At 36.2% G+C, this 21,553-nt stretch overlaps 4 annotated features.

Moving 5' to 3' along the window:
• Nucleotides 3,835–4,536: an enhancer, noted in NCBI's record as "OCT4-NANOG-H3K27ac hESC enhancer chr13:54841135-54841836 (GRCh37/hg19 assembly coordinates)". NCBI's record gives its function as "activates a minimal SCP1, AML or CMV promoter by ChIP-STARR-seq in naive and primed H9 embryonic stem cells {active_cell/tissue: H9 hESC(naive and primed)}" and the evidence as "EXISTENCE:reporter gene assay evidence [ECO:0000049][PMID:30033119]".
• Nucleotides 4,537–5,238: an enhancer, noted in NCBI's record as "OCT4-NANOG-H3K27ac hESC enhancer chr13:54841837-54842538 (GRCh37/hg19 assembly coordinates)". NCBI's record gives its function as "activates a minimal SCP1, AML or CMV promoter by ChIP-STARR-seq in naive and primed H9 embryonic stem cells {active_cell/tissue: H9 hESC(naive and primed)}" and the evidence as "EXISTENCE:reporter gene assay evidence [ECO:0000049][PMID:30033119]".
• Nucleotides 5,239–5,940: an enhancer, noted in NCBI's record as "OCT4-NANOG-H3K27ac hESC enhancer chr13:54842539-54843240 (GRCh37/hg19 assembly coordinates)". NCBI's record gives its function as "activates a minimal SCP1, AML or CMV promoter by ChIP-STARR-seq in naive and primed H9 embryonic stem cells {active_cell/tissue: H9 hESC(naive and primed)}" and the evidence as "EXISTENCE:reporter gene assay evidence [ECO:0000049][PMID:30033119]".
• Nucleotides 5,941–6,642: an enhancer, noted in NCBI's record as "NANOG-H3K27ac hESC enhancer chr13:54843241-54843942 (GRCh37/hg19 assembly coordinates)". NCBI's record gives its function as "activates a minimal SCP1, AML or CMV promoter by ChIP-STARR-seq in naive H9 embryonic stem cells {active_cell/tissue: H9 hESC(naive)}" and the evidence as "EXISTENCE:reporter gene assay evidence [ECO:0000049][PMID:30033119]".

The raw sequence follows: 21,553 nt of genomic DNA on the forward strand, positions 1-21,553 counted from the left end.
GAAGAATGTGAGAGTGAAAAAATGATTGCATTGTGTGTGTTGGGGGTGCTTCTCAACAGGTTGGTTTTAAATTTTCTTTCTTTTTATTTTTAAGCTAAGAAATATTGGAATATACTGTACTTGAAAGGACTGAGTGTGTGGGGGTAGCAGTGAGTCATAGTTATAGGTAATCCCTTTACTTTTATTTTCTGGAATTCTCTGCTTTTTTAATTTCTGGCTTTTAAGGAAAGCTGTTCTCCAAGAGCACTCTTCACCTTCATCCCATGCCTTCTTCCCAGTCTAATTCATCAGACTTCAGTTCTCATTTTCAATATCATTTTCTCCAGGTCTTTCTAGACTTTTAGACAATGATGTTTGCTTGGTCTATGCACTTACTTCAGACCTTGTACTTCTCTTTCATGACCCTCATCACAGTTTATTGTAATGACTTTTTTTCCTTCTCTGCTGTGATAGCTGTGAAGAACTGAATAAATAAATGACAAAAGAGCTTCTTTATGAATTGAAAGAAAAGCCTTTCTGTAACTTACAGCATTTAAAATATGTTTACTGGGAGTAATATATTCTGTAGGTACCCTTCATGCTACTTTGAATTAATTTGTTCAATAGTCATTCAGCAATTACTTATTGATTGTCCGCAGTGTACCAGGCTCCATGACCAATGTTGTGTTTTTAATGGTGCATAAGATAAATATGGCTTCTTTGCTTATACAGCTTCTTAGAATTTAGTAAGAAAAGGTAAATATTCTTAACAGCTACTGATAGTATGCTTACATTTGACAGAAAAACCATGAAGTGTTTTGATTCAGCAAACCAATGTGAAGGTTTACTCTCTTGACAAGCACTGAGGCTGAAATAACATAGATGGATGAGACTCTGCTCTTGCCCTAGAGAACTCATAATCTATCAGAAGATATTGACTGCAGAGCTTGAATGAATGAACTGTAGCCTGATTGTGTGACCTGAGTCTGTGGGAGCACAAAGAAAGAAGCAATGTTGTCTATCTGAGGCTTTAGAATAATTCACAAGGAAAGCTATTTGTTACCTGAGCCCATAACTAATTTGCTAACTAAGATCTCCCCAGGACATTCTAGTGAAAGATAGCATGAGTCAAGGACGGCAGGTAGACAAGTTCAGTGACTTTTCAGAATTATAAACCAGCCTTAATAACCATTAAATATTAATTTAGGAAACAACATCATATTATCAAAAATGTGGAAATGTCTAAGATATAGTGAGAGTTGCTATGGGAATGACACCCTTAAAATTTGGATTGCAGGTGAAGCTATTTCTCTATTTCAGCCTTTTTATAAAATGATGTAAGAGTTACAATTTTCAATATACAACTCAAAGAAATAATTACCTCTTCTGCAAATTAGTAAGTACATGTAATTTTGCATTTTAAAAATCTCCTTAAAAGCAACTACTCTATTATATTCTTTCATTAATTGCCATAAATTAATTTAACCCAAAGCCAATTTACACACATCCTTCTTCTAGCATCAGTCATAATTGTATTTATTCCATTTCATTTAGAATATTTAACTCTTCAGAGCCTACTTACCTATTAAAACAGGCAAGTGGAGCACATTTACTTCTGTGGCACAAAGTACAAATTAATGCCAAATTGTGTTTATTTGTGCAATTTGCATTATTCTTTAGAATTCATAATCTTTTATTAGATTCTCAAAGGGCATCAAGACCCATTAAAGGCTCAAAAGCACTTGAAATTCTTTCTTTTTGCATTTTCCAATTCTTTACATTCATTAAATGTTAGTTCATTAGTAACATGTTCATTCATTAGCAAAATGTTGTCATGAACAAATTATAAATTATTTAAAAATATTTGTCTTATATAAAAAAAGAAAAATGTAGGATTTATCCCAGCTATACACAGCTGAATTGACATTCAAAAGCCAATTAATGTAATCCGTCATGTCAATAGGTTAAAAAAATCACATGATCATATCAATAAATGCAAAAAATGAATCTAACAAATTCCAACACTTAACTCTTGATTAAAAAACTCTCAGTAAACTAGGAATATAAGTGAACTTCAATGTGGTAAAGAATAAGTGCAAAATTCCTATTGCTAACTTCATACTTAATGGTGATAAATGTGAAGCATTCCTAGTAAGATTAGGAACAAGTATAGAATGTCACCCCCATCACTGCTTTTTAGCATCATTCTGGAAGTACTAATGCAATAAGACAAGAAAAGAAAACAACAAGTATACCAATTGAGAAGGAAAACATAAAACTTTTCTCACAGATGACATGACTGTCTATGTAGAAATCTAAAAGAATTTATGAAAACTTATAAAACCAATAACCAATTATAACAAATTGTAGGACACAAGGTTAATATGCAAAAGTCAATCACTTTCCTCACCAACAATGAAAAAGTATATTTTGATACTAAAAACATGATACCACTTACATTCTTAAGTATAACAAACTAAAAACACAATACCACTTACATTCTTAATTATATCAAAAAGTTTGTAAAAGAAACTATAAAACTTTGATAAATAAACAAAAAACTAAATAAATGTAGAGATTTTCCATGTTCATGGATAGAAAGTCTCAATATCATCAAGATGGCAGTTCTTTCCAACTTGATCTATAAATTCAATGCAATCTCAACCAAAACCCTAGTGAGGCATTTTTGGATATTCACAACCTAACTCTAAAGTTTATATGGAGAGGTAAGAGACTCAGAATATCAAACAAAATATTAAAGGAGAATAACAAAGTTGGAGAACTGACACTACCCAATTCCAGGCTTACTCTAAAGCTACAGAAATTAAGACAGCATGATACTGGCAAGAGAAGAGACAAATAAATCAATGGAACACAACGAAGAACCTAGAAATAGACTCATAAATCTAGTCAACTGATCTTTGACAAAGGAGCAAAGACAGTACAATGAAGCAAATATGATCTGTTCAACAAATGCTGCTGGAACAAGTAGACATCTGCATGTCAAATAAGGCAAAACAAGGAATCTAGACACCACAAACCTTACACTCTTCACAAAAATTAATTCAAAACATATCGTAGGCCTATGTGTAAAACATGAAAGTATACAACTCTTAGAAAACAACATAGGAGAAAACCTTGGGTATGATAAGACTTTTTAGATATAACAGCAAAAACATAATCATGAAAGAATCAATAAGCTAGACTTTATTAAAATCAAAAATTTCTTCTCTGTGAAAAACAGTGCTAAGAGAACGAAAAGACAATCTACACTGTGGAATAAAATATTTTCAAAAGACACATCTGATAAAGGATTGTTATCCAAAATATATGAAGAACTCCTAAAACTCAACAATAAGGAAATGATCTAATTTAAAAATAAGCAAAAACCTTAGCAGGCACCTCATCAAGGAAGATTACAGATTACAAATAAGTATATGAAAATCTGTTCCTCATTATATGTCTTCTGGGAAATACAAATTAAAACAGTGAGAGATACCACTGCACATTTATTAGAATAGCCAAAATCTGGAACACTGACAATACCAAATGCTGGCAATGATGTACAATAACAGGAATTCTCAATCATTTCTTGTGGGAATGCAAAATAATACAGATCCTTTGGAAGACAATTTTGTGGTTTATAAACAAAACTAAACATATGAAGGGGTGGGTTGCCCCTCCACCTGTGGGTTTTTCTCGTTAGGTGGAACGAGAGACTTGGAAAAGAGACACAGAGACAAAGTATAGAGAAAGAAAAAGGGGGCCCAGGAGACCGGCGTTCAATACACGGAGGATCCCACCGGCCTGAGTTCCCTCAATATTTATCCATCATTATTGGGTGTTTCTCGGAGAGGGGGATGTGGCAGGGTCATAGGATAATAGTGGAGAGGAGTTCAGCAGGTAGACACGTGAACAAAGGTCTCTGCATCATAAACAAGGTAAAGAATTAAGTGCTGTGCTTTAGATATGTATACACATAAACAGCTCAATGCCTTAAAGAGCAGTATTGCTGCCCGCATGTCCCACCTCCAGCCCTAAGGCGGTTTTCCCCTATCTCAGTAGATGGAATATACAATCGGGTTTTACACTGAGACATTCCATTGCCCAGGGACTAGCAGGAGACAGATGCCTTCCTCTTGTCTCAACTGCAAGGAGGCGTTCCTTCCTCTTTTACTAATCCTCCTCAGCACAGACCATTTATGGGTGTCGGGCTGGGGGACGGTCAGGTCTTTCCCTTTGCACGAGGCCATATCTCAGGCTATCACGTGGGGAGAAGCCTTGGACAATACCTGGCTTTCCTAGGCAGAGGTCCCTGCGGCCTTCCACAGTGTTTTGTGTCCCTGGGTACTTGAGATTAGGGAGTGATGATGACTCTTAACAATCATGCTGCCTTCAAGCATTTGTTTAACAAAGCACAACTTGCACAGCCCTTAATCCATTTAACCCTGAGTTGACACAGCACATGTTTCAGGGAGCACAGGGTTGGGGGTAGGGTTACAGGTTAACAGCATCTCAAGGCAGAAGAATTTTTCTTAGTACAGAACAAAATGGAGTCTACTATGTCTACTTCTTTCTACACAGACACAGTAACAATCTGATCTCTGTTTCTTTTCCCCACAAACATACTCTTACCATAAAATCCAGCAATCAACTTCTTGGTATTTACCCAAAGGAGATGATTATTTATGTCCACACAAAAACCTACACACAGATGTTTATAGCAGCTTTATTCATAATTGCCAAAAGTTGGAAGCAACGACAATATTCTTCAGTAGGTCAATGGATAATACTGTGGTGTATCTGGATAATGGAATTATTATTCAGCACAAAAGAAGTGGAACATCAAGCCACGAAAAGACTGGGAGGAACCTTAAATGCATATTACTAGGTGAAAGAAACCAGTCTGAAAAGGCTATATTATGTATGATTCCAACTATATGGCACTTTATAAAAGACAAAACTATGAAGACAGCAAAAAGATCAATGCTCACCAGTGTCAGGCCTCTGAGCCCAAGCCAAGCCATCGCATCCCTTGTGACTTGCACGTATACACCCAGATGGCCTGAAGTAACTGAAGAATCACAAAAGAAGTGAATATGCCCTGCCCCACCTTAACTGATGACATTCCACCACAAAAGAAGTGTAAATGGCCGGTCCTTGCCTTAAGTGATGACATTACCTTGTGAAAGTCCTTTTCCTGGCTCATCCTGGCTCAAAAAGCACCCCCACTGAGCACCTTGCGACCCCCACTCCTGCCCGCCAGAGAACAAACTCCCTTTGACTAATTTTCCTTTATCTACCCAAATCCTATAAAACGGCCCCACCCTTATCTCCCTTCGCTGACTCTCTTTTCCGACTCAGCCCACCTGCAGACCCATCTGACCTCTCCCCTCCTCGCCAGACTGAGCTAGGTCCCAATTCTTCCTCAGCCTCTGCTCCTCCACCCTATAATCTTTTTATCGCCTCCCCTCCTCACACCTGGTCGGGCTTACAGTTTCATTCCATGACTAGCCCTCCCCCACTTGCCCAGCAATTTACTCTTAAAAAGGTGGCTAGAGCCAAAGGCATAGTCAAGGTTAATGCTCCTTTTTCTTTATCCCAAATCTGATAGCGTTTAGGCTCTTTTTCAGCAAATATAAAAATCCAGCCCAGTTCATGACTTGTTTGGCAGCAACCCTGAGATGCTTTACAGCCCTAGACCCTAAAAGGTCAAAAGGCCATCTTATTCTCAAAATACATTTTATTACCCAATCTGCTCCCGACATTAAATAAAACTCCAAAAATTAAATTCTGGCCCTCAACCCCACAACAGGATTTAATTAACCTCGCCTTCAAGGTGTACAATAATAGAAAAAAGTTGCAATTCCTTGCCTCCACTGTGAGACAAACCCCAGCCACATCTCCAGCACACAAGAACTTCCAAACGCCTGAACCGCAGCGGCCACGCGTTCCTCCAGAACCTCCTCCCACAGGAGCTTGCTATACGTGCTGGAAATCTGGCCACTGGGCCAAGGAATGCCCGCAGCCCAGGATTCCTCCTAAGCCGCGTCCCATCTGTGTGGCACCCCACTGAAAATTGGACTGTTCAACTCACCTGGCAGCCACTCCCAGAGCCCCTGGAACTCTGGCCCAAGCCTCTCTGACTGACTCCTTCCCAGGTCTTCTCGGCTTAGCGGCTGAAGACTGACACTGCCCAATCGCCTCGGAAGCCCCCTAGGCCATCACGGATGCCGAGCTTCGGGTAACTCTCACAGTGGAAGGTAAGCCCGTCCCCTTCTTAATCAATACGGAGGCTACCCACTACACATTACCTTCTTTTCAAGGGCCTGTTTCCCTTGCCTCCATAACTGTTGTGGGTATTGACGGCTAGGCTTCTAAACCTCTTAAAACTCCCCAACTCTGGTGCCAACTTAGACAATACTCTTTTAAGCACTCCTTTTTAGTTATCCCCACCTGCCCAGTTCCCTTATTAGGCCGAGACACTTTAACTAAATTATCTGCTTCCCTGACTATTCCTGGGCTACAGCTATATCTCATTGCCACCCTTCTTCCCAATCCAAAGCCTCCTTTGCGTCCTCCTCTTGTATCCCCCAACCTTAACCCACAAATATAAGATACCTCTACTCCCTCCTTGGCGACCGATCATGCATCCCTTACCATCTCATTAAAATCTAATCACCCTTACCCCACTCAACGCCAATATCCCATCCCACAGCACGCTTTAAAAAGATTAAAGCCTGTTATCACTCGCCTGCTACAGCATGGCCTTTTAAAGCCTATAAACTCTCCTTACAATTCTCCCATTTTACCTGTCCTAAAACCAGACAAGCCTTACAAGTTAGTTCAGGATCTGCGCCTTATCAACCAAATTGTTTTGCCTATCCACCCCGTGGTGCCAAACCCATATACTCTCCTATCCTCAATACCTGCCTCTACAACCCATTATTCTGTTCTAGATCTCAGACATGCTTTCTTTACTATTCCTTTGCACCCTTAATCCCAGTCTCTCTTCACTTTCATTTGGACTGACCCTGACACCCATCAAGCTCAGCAAATTACCTAGGCTGTACTGCCGCAAAGCTTCACAGACAGCCCCCATTACTTCAATCAAGCCCAAATTTCATCCTCATCTGTTACCTATCTCAGCATAATTCCCATAAAAACACACTTGCTCTCCCTGCCAATCGTGTCCGACTGATCTCTCAAACCCCAGCACCTTCTACAAAACAACAACTCCTTTCCTTCCTAGGCATGGTTAGTGCGGTCAGAATTCTTACACAAGAGCCAGGACCACACCCTGTAGCCTTTCTGTCCAAACAACTTGACCTTACTGTTTTAGCCTAGCCCTCATGTCTGCGTGCAGCGGCTGCCGCTGCTTTAATACTTTTAGAGGCCCTCAAAATCACAAACTATGCTCAACTCACTCTGTACAGTTCTCATAACTTCCAAAATCTATTTTCTTCCTCATACCTGCCGCATATACTTTCTGCTTCCCGGCTCCTTCAGCTGTACTCACTCTTTGTTGAGTCTCCCACAATTACCGTTGTTCCTGGCCCAGACTTTAATCCGGCCTCCCACATTATTCCAGATACCATATAATCTCTAACTATGTTGTCTTGACATAGTCTGTTTTATGGCTACAAGCATTCTGTGACATAAGCTATTTAATTCACACCCTGTTGCTCAGTGAATATTTGAGAAATATAAATGCACAATAAACATCTATCAATTGAAACAAATAATGTTTACAACTGCTTTTGCTCACTTAAAAATAAACAAAATAATGAACATATTTCACCTCCAAGTATTCTATTATTTGTAACTATTTTTTCATCATTCATGACTCATTTTGTTGTCCTTTAATATCATTAAGTTGCCAGTGGGGAGTCTGAGCTGAAATGCCTGCCAAGGAAGATAGGACTACATTTTAATGAAATCAGCAAAAGTGAGCCTCAGTGCATTTTTATCATAATTTAAGGCCTAGTTGAGGTATGATAAATGATCCTCATCCCTGATCAGTATACTACCTGAGCAGTGATACATCATTTATGTCTTGCCATTGTACTTTTGGAACTGCCATGGGGGTAGCAAATGTGCAATAAATATTGCTCGATGAATTATATATTTCAGAAAAATTCAATGTGTTAGAAAAATAAGCAGCAAATTTATAAGTGGCTTAGAATACTACAGTAAAAACAACTTTATTGACCAGCCTTGGCTCCATACCTTATGTTATGGTTAAAAAAAATCAGATATGTTGAATGTTTACTGTTAAATATGAAATTAGAACACAGGTTGTTCACTTAATATATTCATTCCACAAGCATTTATTGAGTGATTACAATGTTCCAGGCAGTGTACTAAGTATTATAATTGAATTAAAAGACAAATTCTTCTCTGATGGCCTTTGGAATTACTAGGAGTGGCTGAAAATTTAGTGATAATTGCAATGTAGATTAAATGAAAAGAGCTCCCAAGAAAAGTTACATACAAGGTACAACAGGGACATAGGAGATGAAACTTAAGTCATTCTGTTGGGATCAAGGAAAGGATTCATGCAAACAACATAGGTTGAGAGGCAAGTAGGTGTAATCTAAAGGGATATATCCAAAAAAAAAGTTGAAATAACTAGGCTTTGATCATGGTGCAACTTGTGTATTCAAGTAAGGCATATGGATTTGAAAACAAAAGAGAATCATTAAAGTATTTTAAACAGAGAAGTAATACAATAATGCAGTAATACATATTCTGTTCAGAAAAATGGTTCTGGTGCAGTATGGAGGTTGGATTGGAGCAGGAAGAGAGGAATAGGCTGAAAGCAGAACAACAATTAACATGCTTTTGTGGATATCTAGGCAAGAAATGATAAGGAGCTGGAAATATAAGAGAGGTAATTGATAAGGTAAATATTTAGGAGTATGAATAAGACTAAAGGTGTAAAAAGTAGAGAAAAGGAAATAGGAAAAATTTGCTCCCAGACTGATGAAAAAGTAAGTAAACAGTGAAGCTATTCTAAGCCAAATTTCAGGCTTGTGCTAACTTCATTGTACCAGCAATTCACTAACTGGGTGTTGATGCCCTTCCAGTGTGCCAGGGTGAAAGAGAAGCTTTGGGATAAATATGACACTCTGGCCAGGCTCTCAGTTTTATTCAACTATAAATAATATAGAGCATTATTTTTATACAAACAACTTATATATGTATGAAATACAATGTATACTTTTTTTTAAAAAAAGAGACTTCAAAGAATTTTGTAATTTGAAATAAGTGCTTAAAGCAATGGACCCTTACACAGATTTAGAGCTATTTAATTTTCTCTGCTATTTGTGTTGTTAATCAGAACATGCAATTAACTACGCAAGGTAAATGTGCAAGGTAACTTATCTTAGTTGCTAAGAAATTTGGCTGGCTGGTATATTTGTCACTGTTTTTAACACAACTTGCAATTTTAGAGAAAGTCATATATCTGTTGTTTCTGTGTTCTAATGAGAAAGGCTTTAGTATAGGGTTGCCGGAAAAAAAAAATACAGGACGTCCATCTAAGCAATAATTTTTTTTGTACAAGTATGTCTAATATGAAATTCACATTTAATACACACTGTATTTTTATTTGTTATATCTGAGAACTCATTTGTTGTTAATGGCCATTCCTTCTTTAAAGACTATGAAATTTTATAATATTTTAAAACATCTTATCTGTTTGAATTTCAGCTACCATTATTATGTTTTTATTTTAATGAACCACTTTTTAAAATCCCTTTAAAATTTATTATCTATTTTATAGTAGTAACTGGTATGTTACAGTTTTATAAACTTGAGTGTTTACATTAGCTTTCCAAATTACAGCCACTTTGTGCCCTCTGATTTTGCATAAATTGAGAAAATCTAATTTTCATTTAATTAATTTTTGACCCATATTCTCACTTATAGGAATCCCTAAGGAAATTCACACGGTCCACACACTCAACCTTGATGGCCTGGCTCCTTGAAACTAATTTCTACTCCACTTCTCTGATAAGCCACTCATGTACTAAAGATAAAATTTAGTAATTCTAATAGTCATAGTAGCAGTGCTCCACAACTGTAGTAGAAAAATTAAAAAAAAAAAAACTATGTTCAGGATGCTAATGTTCTCCCTTAACCATTTCATCCTAATATTACACAAAATGCTCCCTATTTTTTTCAGCTAAAACAAATTATGAACAAAACCACTCTTATAATTTACAGCTGAGTATGTGTTACAGCTATAATTTTTAAATAAGAGTTACTGTAGTTTTAACCATAAGAAAATGGAACTCTGAGAATAATGTTTAATGGTTAGTACACATGAAGATTCCAACAGATTATATATCGATTCAGATTAAGCTTCTATTCCTTCATTGTCTTGAGAAGTGTACCACATATAACATCAATAAATATGATATTACATTTCCTTAATACTAAGATTGTGACTGTTTTTGGTACATCACAGGTTTGAAAGTCACATACTTAAAAATATATATAATAACTGTGCCCACATGAAAAACACACACAAATTGCAAGACATGCCTTGGCCTAGAAATGTAAAAACCTGAAATAAAATGTAAGTTTTAGAATTGAGAACACAAAATATCATTTACACAATCTATTCCATGATAAATGATTTTCACTGAACTTATGAATAAACAAAACAGGATGGTGTGGATGAGATATGCGTTAGGAAGGAGAGAATCCATTGTTCTCTGCTTAACTCTAGTGATCTAAAAAGTATCCTTTCTTCTCCTCTTTCCCCTTTCCCCCAGTTCCCCTAACCCCACACAGGGATTGGTTGCTAATCTAAATAGTCCAACTCAGGAACGTTTACTGTGCTATGATTGCTGATGGATGTATCCCTATTTGGTATTATTTTATCTGGAATTTTTTTCTATCATAACATAATAAGATAAATATATTGAGTTTGGAACCCTTGGAGTCCTGTTGTCTCTCTCTCTCTCTCTCTCTCTCTCTCTCTCTCTCTCTATATATATATATATATATATATATATGTATATATATATATATATATGTATATATATATATTTGACTCAATATAGATAGAAGGGAAAATGGGCACAGAGCTTTTTCTGAAGCACGTTCCACTCTGTCTTTTTCTTGTCATTTCTTTAGGCAGAAATGCCTAAACATGCCAATGCAAGTAATAAAATTTGGGACAGGGAAAGGGAGGATAATACTTCCTTTATACCAAAGACTAATAGAAATGCTCCAATTTAGCCTTTTATAATAATACTCCATATGACCCACTTTTGTAGCTATTAATACTTGGTATTTTTTTTCTAACATTAAGTACCCTATAGAAAGGCAGCTGTGATTTGTGGACCAGGATTCAGGCATCCCTGTGTCTCTGACGTTATATCATCTAATAGTATGTAAATACTTAAGTTAATGGTAATAGTAATTAGAGCTTCTCATAATATCAAGTTCCTTTATCGGAATAAAAATATTAATTACAATAGCCTCAGAAGCAGAAACAGAAAGTCAAAATAATAATAATAGAATGTCTACAATATCTAAAATATGCTACTAAATGCTATAAGGAATGCAGTAAAAACTAAAATATTCTTTCTACCTTAAGCTGGTAATTGTGATGGAGACATAACATGCAAATGTGAACTCAAATATTTTCAACCTTAGTTAGCAAATTGAGGTACAAAAATAATTGGGCATTACAGTTAAAAATGATATTTCAGAAAATTAAAGTGGCCAGTATGATCTGTGATGGACATGGAAAGATTCATGGAGAGTTTAAATAATATGGAAGATTTGATGGGCAAAGAAAAAGGACAAATTTACAGGTGTGGATATAAGATAGCATAAAATTATTTGGAAGAAATTGAGTAGAATTATTAGCTTCTGTTGGAAGCATAAGAAGTAAGAAATGTGTATAGAATCCTGAATCCATTTAAATTGCTTAATATTGAATCCTGTAAGTTGAAGGACTAGGCAACTAAGACATTGTGGCTGAAGCAGTAATTTAGTGACACTAGTGTGCTATAATTATTTATCTGCTAGTATTATAAAAAGTGAATTAGAGGGACTCTGCTAGGCATCAGAAAACTAGAAGCAAAGGGCCCATTGGAAAACTACTATAATTGCTCAATAATGCAGTAATAACTACGTTGTTCACAATAAAAAATGTAGAGAGAGGAACAAAAGTGATAGAAAACTGTGGAAGAATTAAATTGTGGCAATGGATTATTTATAGGGTATATAAAAGAAAGAAAAATGACTCTGAGTTTTTGTGCATAAGTGACTGAGAGAATGGTAATTCATTAGCAGAGATAGGGAGGTCAAAATATAAAGTTTGATGGTGGTAAGCAGTTGAGGATGAAAATAGTTTTAGACTGTATATTGGTTAACAGGGGACATGGTAATGGAAAAGTAGGTGGTTTGAAATGTGAGATAATTGGAAACACAATGAGAATTAAGGATAAGTTGAATATGAGTTTAGAAAGTATTTGTATAAAGATGGGTGAAATTAAATATATGAAAGTAAATCATGCTGATATTCTCTACTCACTGACAGGCAAATTTTAACAAGATCCTCCTGGTGGAAAAGTATCCTCTTTTAAAAATTTTGCATCTATAGACTACTTCATCCAACTACTGTGGAATACACATTCTTTCAAAATCATATAGAATATTCACCAAGGTATAGAGCACATTCTGGGTCAAAAAACACACCTTAACAAATTTAAAAGAATAGAAATCATACAATGTCTGTTCTCAGAGCACAATGGAATTAAATTAGAAATCAATAACAAAAAGATACCTGGAAAATCCCCAGATGCTGGGAGATTAAAGACCCCACTATTAAATAACAATGTAGGTCAAAAAAGAACATTCCTTAGATCCCTTTTTGGTATATTATTACATAGTGGTACTCATATAATCATTATCATTTTTGTATCTCTGTGATTCTTTATTCCAAGAACTTTTGATACTCATAATTAGCAAATGACTTAAGAAATGTCTTTTTTGGTGACAAATTGGCTTTAATTGAAAATGCATGACAGAAAATCTATCAATTCAGTAATGCTCTTACACTGCGTCTATTAAAGATAGCCTTTGCTCCCAATACAGTTATGTAAGACCAGTTGTTCTTCAGTCATTATAACATGATTTCCTTAATGAGATGGTTTTACTTTCACTTCAAAATGAAATAAAAAGTATTTCATTGTGCTCTTCTTAGGTCCATTTAAATTATAAACAGCATAATGCTTATTAATGACAAATGAAGAAAGCAATGGGTAATATTCTCTCATCCTTCCTGCCTGATTCTGAAAATAATTAATTTGGAGACCAGGCATATTTTTAAAATGTTCACCATATTATATTTCTAGGTTGAACTGTACACTTATTTTCCATTGTGAATAAAATAACTACAGTTTGAATTAGACTTTTCAATCTTAAAAACATTTATATTACTATTATTGATTTAAACATTATGAGTTTCAAGATGCCATCTTTCCCAGTTAGTGAGATTTATGGTGTACCCTTTCCCAAGTTTAATGACTACCATTGCAAAGGAGATGACTGCTATTACGAAGTTTTAAAACGGCCTATTTTCTCATAATTAAATGCTGTGTCAACAAAGCTTAGCAGGGTAATGAGTATTCATGGAAATATTTTTAAATCAAAAATTTGATCTTATTGAATCGCAAAAATATACTTCATATAAATAAAAACAATATAAAACTTTATTCAAAACAAATTTAAAAACAGTTTTATTTGGGTAAAGTACCATTTAGCTTAAAATGCATTTCAAGGCCGGGCGCGGTGGCTCACGCCTGTAATCCCAGCACTTTGGGAGGCCGAGGCGGCTGGATCATGAGGTCAGGAGATCGAGACCATCCTGGCTAACAAGGTGAAACCCCGTCTCTACTAAAAATACAAAAAATTAGCCGGGCGCGGTGGCGGGCACCTGTAGTCCCAGCTACTCGGGAGGCTGAGGCAGGAGAATGGCGTGAACCCGGGAAGCGGAGCTTGCAGTGAGCCGAGATTGCGCCACTGCAGTCCGCAGTCCGGCCTGGGCGACAGAGCGAGACTCCGTCTCAAAAAAAAAAAAAAAAAAAAAAAATGCATTTCAATTCATATAGGGTTTTCTATTTTTTTCTATGAATATATAGTTGTCAAATTATTTTCATTATTATTTTATTTTTTAAATAATTATATCTAAGATCTATACATATTCATTGAAAAAGAGGGCTCCATATGACAAATTTGCAGTAAAACCAAGCATAAATGCCTTAATTTAGACATAAAATTGTGGCCTCTACCTTTACACTAATGTGAAACTGTTTTTATTTCAATAGATTTAGGGGTACAAGTGATTTTTTATTACATGGATTAATTGTATAGTGGTAAATTCTGGGCTTTTATTGTACCTGTCATCTGAATAGTGTACATCGTATCCAATAAGTAGTTTTTCATCCCTCTCCACTGCACCCGGAGTTTCCCTTATCCATTATACCACTCTGTATGCTCCTGCATACCCACAGTGTAGCTCCCTCTAATAAGTGAGAAAATGCAGTACTTGGTTTTCCATTCCTGAGATACTTTGCTTAGGATAATGGCCTTGAGAGTCCCATGCAAGTTGCTGCAAGAAACACTTTTGTTCTTTTTAATAGCTGAGTAGTATTTCATGATATATACATATACCACATGGCTCATTCCATAGCTTTGTAATTGTGAATTGTGTTGTGATAAAAGTACAAATGCAGGTGTCTTTTGATATGACAACTTCTTTTGGGCATACATCCAGTAGTGGGACTGCTGGATCGAATGGTAGATCTACTTTTAGTTCTTTGAGAAATCTCCATGCCATGTTCCATAGAGGTTGTACTAATTTACATTTCTACAACAGTGTGTAAGCATTCCCTTTTCATGGTGTCCGTGCCAACATCTATTTTTTGACATTTCACTCATAGCTGTTCTGTATGGGGTCACGTGGTAACTCACTGTGGTTTCAACTTGCATTTCCCTGATGATTAGTAATGAGCATTTTTTCATGTTTGTTGGCCATTTGTGTATCTTCTTTTGAAAAATGTCTATTCATGTTGTTGGACCATTTTTTAATAGGATTATTTGGTTTTTGTTGCTGATTTGTTTTAGTTCTTTGTAGATTTTGGATATTAGTTCTTTTTTTTTTTGAGACGGAGTCTTGCTCTGTCGCCCAGGCTGGAGTGCAGTGGCGCAATCTCGGCTCACTGCAAGCTCCGACTCCCGGGTTCATGCCATTCTCCTGCCTCAGCCTCCTGAGTAGCTGGGACTACGGGTGCCCGCCACCACGCCTGGCCAATTTTTTGTATTTTTAGTAGAGACGGGGTTTCACTGTGTTAGCCAGGATGGTCTCGATCTCCTGACCTTGTGATCTGCCCACCTCGGCCTCCCAAAGTGCTGGGATTACAGGCTTGAGCCACCGCGCCTGGCCGGGATATTAGTTCTTTGTCGAATACACAGTTTGCAAATATTTTCTCCCATTCCATTGGTTGTCTGTTTACTCTGTGATTTTTCTTTTGCTGTACAGAAGCTTTTCAGTTTAATTACGTCTCACTTGTCTATTTTTGTTTTGGTTTAATTTGCTTTTGGGGTCTTAGTTGTAAATTGTTTGCCTAGGCCAAGGTCTAGAAGAGTTTTTTCTATTTTTTTTTTCCTAGAAATTTTATGGTTTCAGCTTCTACATTTAAGTCTTTCATTTATCTTGAGTTAAATTTTTTATACATTGAGAGATAGATAGGGATCCAGTTTTATTCCTCTGCATTTAGCTATCTAATTTTCCTAGGATTTATTGAGTTGGGTGCCCTTTCCCCAGTGTATGCTTTTATCTGTTTTGTGGAAGATCAGGCAGTTGTAGGTATTTGGCTTTATTTCTGGATTCTCTATTCTGTTCCATTGGTCTATGTGTCTACTACAGCATTGTACAGCATTGAAGTTAAGCAACATGATGCCTCCAGCTTTCTTCTTTTTCCTTGGGATTGCTTTGACTATTCAGGCTCTTGTCTAGTTTCATATGAATTTTAGGAACTTTTTCTAATTCTGTGAAAAATGACATTGGTATTTTGATTGGAATTGCATTGAATCTGTAGATTGCTTTGAGCAGTATGGTCATTTTCACAAAGTAAATTATTCCCTTCCATGAGTGTGGGATGTTTTTTCATTTGTTTGTGTTACTTATGATTTACTTCACCAGCATTTTGTAGTTCCCGTTATAGAAATATTTCACCTCCTTGCTTAAGTATATTCATAGGTATTTTATTTTTATTGTAGCTATTGTAAATTGGATTGATTTCTTCATTTGAGTCTTACTTGATAGTTGTTGATGTATAGCAGTACTACTGATTTATATACATTGATTTTGTAACCTGCAACTTTATTGAATTCATTTATTCAAACTAGGAGTCTTTTGGAGAAGTCGTTAGGGTTTTCTAGGTATAAGGTTATATTATCAGCAAATAGAGTTTGACTTCCTCTTTTTCAATCTGGATGCCCTTTCTTTCTTACTCTTGCCTTAGTGCTCTGGCTAGAGTTTCCATTCCTTGTTAATAGAAGTGGTAAAAGTGGGCATCCTTGGCTTTTTCCAGTTCCGAGGGGGGATGTTTTCAACTTTTCCCCATTCAGTACAATGTTGACTGTGTATTTGTGATATATGTCTTTTATTATTTTGAAGTATGTTCCTGCTATGCCTAGTTTGTTGTTTTTTTTTATCATCAGGACATGTTGGATTTTATTGAATACTTTTCCTGCATCCATTGAAATTATATATAGTTTTTGTTTTTAATTCTGTTTATGTAGTGAATCACTTTTATTGACTTGGATATGTTGAATCATCCTTGCATCCTTGCACCCCTGGTATTCACCTTGTGGTGAATTATCTCTTTGGTGTGCTGTTGGATTTGGTTTGCCCGTATTTTATTAAGGATATTTACATCTATGTTCATCAGAGATATTGGTCCGTAGATTTATTTTCTGTTGTTGCATCCTTTTCTGGCTTTGGTATCAGGGTATCAGGGTAATCCTGGTTTTATAGAATGAGTCAGAAGGGAATTTCATTCTTCTTGATTTTTTGAATAGTTTTAGTAGTATTGGTATCAAGTCTTCTTTAATCATCTGGTAGAATTAGCTCTGAATCCATCTGGTCCTGGGCTTTGCTGTTGTTGGAAGATTTTTTATTCTAAGTTCAATCTCACTTCTCATTATTGATCTGCTCAGGATTTCCATTTCTTCAGGATTCAAACTTGGAGGGTTGTATGCCTCCAGGATTTTATCCACATGCTGATTTTCTAGTTTGTGTTCACTGAAGTGGTCATAGTAGTCTTCAGTGAGCTTTTGTATTTCTGTGTTATCAGTAGTAATGTCCCCATTTTCATTTTTGATTGAGCTTATTTGAATCCTCTTTCTTCCTCATGGTTAATCTAGCTACTGGTCTATCAATTGTGTTTACCTTGTTAAATAAGCAACGTTTTATTTCATTTATCATTTTATTTATTTATTTATTTTTGGTTTCAATTTAGTTCTGCTCTGATCTTTCTTTCTTTTCTTCTGCTAGCTTTGAATTTGGTTTGTTCTTGCTTCTCTAATTCCTTGAAGTGTGATGTTAGGTCATCAATTTGTGATCTTTCTGTCTTTTTGTTGTAGATATTTTAGTGCTATTAACTTCCCTCTTAGTAATGCTTTTGCCATATCCCAGAAATTTTGATAGCTTGTGTTAGTCTTATTCATTTGAAAAAAGTATTAATTTTTATCTTGATTTCATTATTTACCCAAAGATCATTCAGGAACATGTTGTTTAATTTTCATGTATTTGCATTGAGTGTTAAGAGCTCCTCTTGGAATGGATTTGTAGTTTTATTCCACTGTGGTCTGAGAAGATACTTAATATGATTTTCATTTTTTTGTGATTTATTGAGACTTCTTTACAGAGACCTTATTTCTGAGCTCTCTGTTCTGTTCCATTGGTCTATCACATGGTTTATCTTGAAAAATGTTCCATTTGCTGATAAAAAGCATGTATATCCTGCAGTTTTAGGGGAGAATGTTCAGTAAATGTCTGTTAGTTCTAGAGTCTATTTGTTCTAGAGTCCAGTTTACATCCAGTGTTTCTATGTGTCTTTTTGCCTTGATGATCTGTCTAGGGCTGTCAATGGAGTGTTGAAGTCCCCCACTATTTTTTATTATTATTATTATTATTATTTTACTTTAAGTTCTGGGATACACGTGCAGAACGTGCAGGTTTGTTATGTAGGTATACGTGTGCCATGCTGGCTTGCTGCATCTATTGACCCATTCTCTATGTTCCCTCCTCTTGCCCTCACCTACCAACAGGCCAAGGTGTGTGTTGTTCCCCTCCCTGTGACGATGCGTTCTCATTGGTCAACTCCTACTTATGAGTGAGAACATGTAGTGTTTGGTTTTCTGTTCCTGTGTTAGTTTGCTGAGGATGATGGCTTTCACCTTCATCCATGTCCCTGCAAAGGACATGATCTCATTCCTTTCTGTGGCTGCATAGTATTCCATGGTGTATATGTACCACATTTTCTTTATCCAATTTATCATTGATGGGCATTTGGGTTGGTTCCATGTCTTTGCTATTGTAAATAGTGATGCAATAAACATTCGTCTTTACAGTAGAATGATTTATATTTCTTTAGGTATATATCTTGTAATGGGATTGCTGGGTCAAATGGAATTTCTGGCTCTAGATCCTTAAGGAATCACCACACTGTCTTCCACAATGGTTGAACTAATTTACATTACCACCAACAGTGTAAAAGTGTTCCTATTTCTCCACAGCCTTGCCAGCATCTATTGTTTCTTGACTTTTTAATAATTGCCATTCTGACTGGCATGAGATGGTATCTCACTGTAGTTTTTATTTGCATTACTTGAGTGATCAGTGGTGTTGAGCTTTTTTTCATGTTTGTTGGTTGCATAAATGTCTCCTTTTGAGAAATGTCTGTTTGTATCCTTTGCCCACTTTTTGATGGGTATTTTGTTTTTTTCTTGTAAATTTGTTTAAGTTCTTTGTAGATTCTGGATATTAGACCTTTGTCAGATGGGTAGATTGCAAAAATTTTCTCCCATTCTGTAGGTTGCCTGTTCACTCTGATGATAGTTTCTTTTGCTGTGCAGAAGCTCTTTAGTTTAATTCGAACCCCTTTGTCAATTTTGGCTTTTGTTGCAATTGCTTTTGGTGTTTTAGTCATGATGTCTTTGCTCATGCCTATGTCCTGAATGGTATTGCCTAAGTTTTCTTCTAGGGTTTTTATGATTTGGGGTTTTACATTTAGGTCTTTAATTCATCTTGAGTTAATTTTTATGTGAGGTGTAAGGAAGGGGTCCAGTTTCAGTTTTCTGTATATGGATAGCCATTTTCCCAGCACCATTTATTGAATAGAAAAACTTTTCCCCATTGCTTGTTTTTATCAGGTTTGTCGAAGATCAGATGGTTGTAGATGTGTGGTGTTACTTCTGAGGTCTCTCTTCTGTTCCATTGGTTTATATGTCTGTTTTGGTACCAGTACCATGCTTTTTTCATTACTGTAGCCGTGTAGTATAGTTTGAAGTCAAATAGCGTGATGCCTCCAACTTTGTTCTTTTTGCTTAGGATTGTCTTGGCTATATGGGCTCTTTTTTGGTTCCATATGAAATTTAAAGTAGATTTTTCTAACTCTGTGAAGAATGTCAATGGTAGTTTGATGGGAATAGCATTGAATCTATAAATTACTTTGGGCAGTATGGCCATTTTCACGATATTGATTTCTCCTATCCATGAGCATGGCATGTTTTTCCATTTGTTTGCATCCTCTCTTATTTCCTTGAACAGAGGTATGTAATTCTCCTTGAAGAGGTCCTTCACATCCCTTCTTAGCTGTATTCCTAGGTATCTTATTCTCCCTGAAGCAATTGTGAATGGGAGTTCATTCATGATTTGGCTCTCTGCTTGTCTTTTGTTGGTGTTTAGGAATGCTTGTGATTTTTGCGCATTGATTTTGTATCCTGATGCTTTGCTGAAGCTGTTTATGAACTTGAGGAGTTTTTGGGCAGAGACAATGGAGTTTTCTAAATATAGAATCACGTCGTCTGCAAACAGAAACCATTTGACTTCCTCTCTTCCTATTTGAATGCACTTTATTTCTTTCTCTTGCCTGATGGCCCTGGCAAGAAATTCCAATGCTATGTTGAATAGGAGTGGTGAGGGAGGACATCCTTGTCTTGTACAGTTTTCAAAGGGAATGCTTACAGCTTTTGCTCATTCAATATGATACTGGCTGTGGGTTTGTCATAAATAGCTCTTATTATTTTGAGATACATTCCATCAATACCTAGTTTACTGACAGTTTTTAACATGAAGGGATGTTGAATTTTATTAAAGGGCTTTTCTGCATCTATTGAGAGAATCATTTGATATTTGTTGTTTGTTCTGTTTATGTGATAGATTACATTAATTGATTTGCATATGTTGAATAAGCCTTGCATCCCATGGATGAAGCCAACTTGATCATGGTGGATAAGTTTTTTGATGTGCTACTGGATCCAGTTTGCCAGTATTTTATTGAGGATTTTCATATTGATGTTCAGCAGGGATATTGGCCTAAAGTTTTCTTTTTTGTTGTGTCTCTGCCAGGTTTTGGTATCAGAATGATGCTGGCTTCATGAAATGAGTTAGGGAGGAGTCCCTCCCTTTCAATTGTTTGGAATAGTTTCAGAAGGATGGTACAATCTCCTCTTTGTACCTCTGGTAGAATTTTGCTGTGTATCTATCTGATCCTGGGCTTTTTGCAGTTGGTAGGCTATTAATTACTGCCTCAATTTCAGAACATTTTATTGGTATATTCAGGGATTTGATTTCTTCCTGGTTTAGTCTTGGCAGGGAATTTGTGTCCAGGAATTTAAACGTTTCTTCTAGATTTTCTAGTTTATTTGCATAGAGGTGTTTATAGTATTCTCTGATGGTAGTTTTTATTTCTGTGGGGTCATGGTGATATACCCTTTATCATTTTTTATTGTGTCTATTTGATTCTTCTCTCTTTTCTTCTTTAATAGTCTAGCTAGTGGTCTGTAATTTTGTTGATTGTTTCAAAAAACCACCTCCTGGATTCATTGATTTTTTGAATATTTTTTGTGTCTTATTCTCCTTCAATTCTGCTCTGCTCTTAGTTATTTCTTTTCCTCTGCTAGCTTTTGGATTAGTTTGCTCTTGCTTCTCTGGCTCTTTTAATTGTGATGTTAGGATGTCAATTTGAGATCTTTCTAGCTTTCAGATGTGAGCATTTAGTGCTATAAATTTCCCTCTTAACACTGCCTTAGCTGTGTCCCAGAGATTCTGATACGTTGTCTCTTTGTTCTTACTGGTTTCAAAAAACTTCTTGATTTCTGCCTTAATTTCATTATTTACCCAGTTGTCATTCAGGAACAGGTTTTTCAATTTCCATGTACTCATGTGGTTTTGAGTGAGTTTCTGAATCTTGAGTTCTAATTTGATTTCACTGTGGTCTGAGAGGCTGTTTGTTATGATTTCAGTTCTTTTGCATTT

Source organism: Homo sapiens, chromosome 13 (assembly GCF_000001405.40).
Source record: "Homo sapiens chromosome 13, GRCh38.p14 Primary Assembly".
Lineage (NCBI taxonomy): Eukaryota > Metazoa > Chordata > Mammalia > Primates > Hominidae > Homo > Homo sapiens.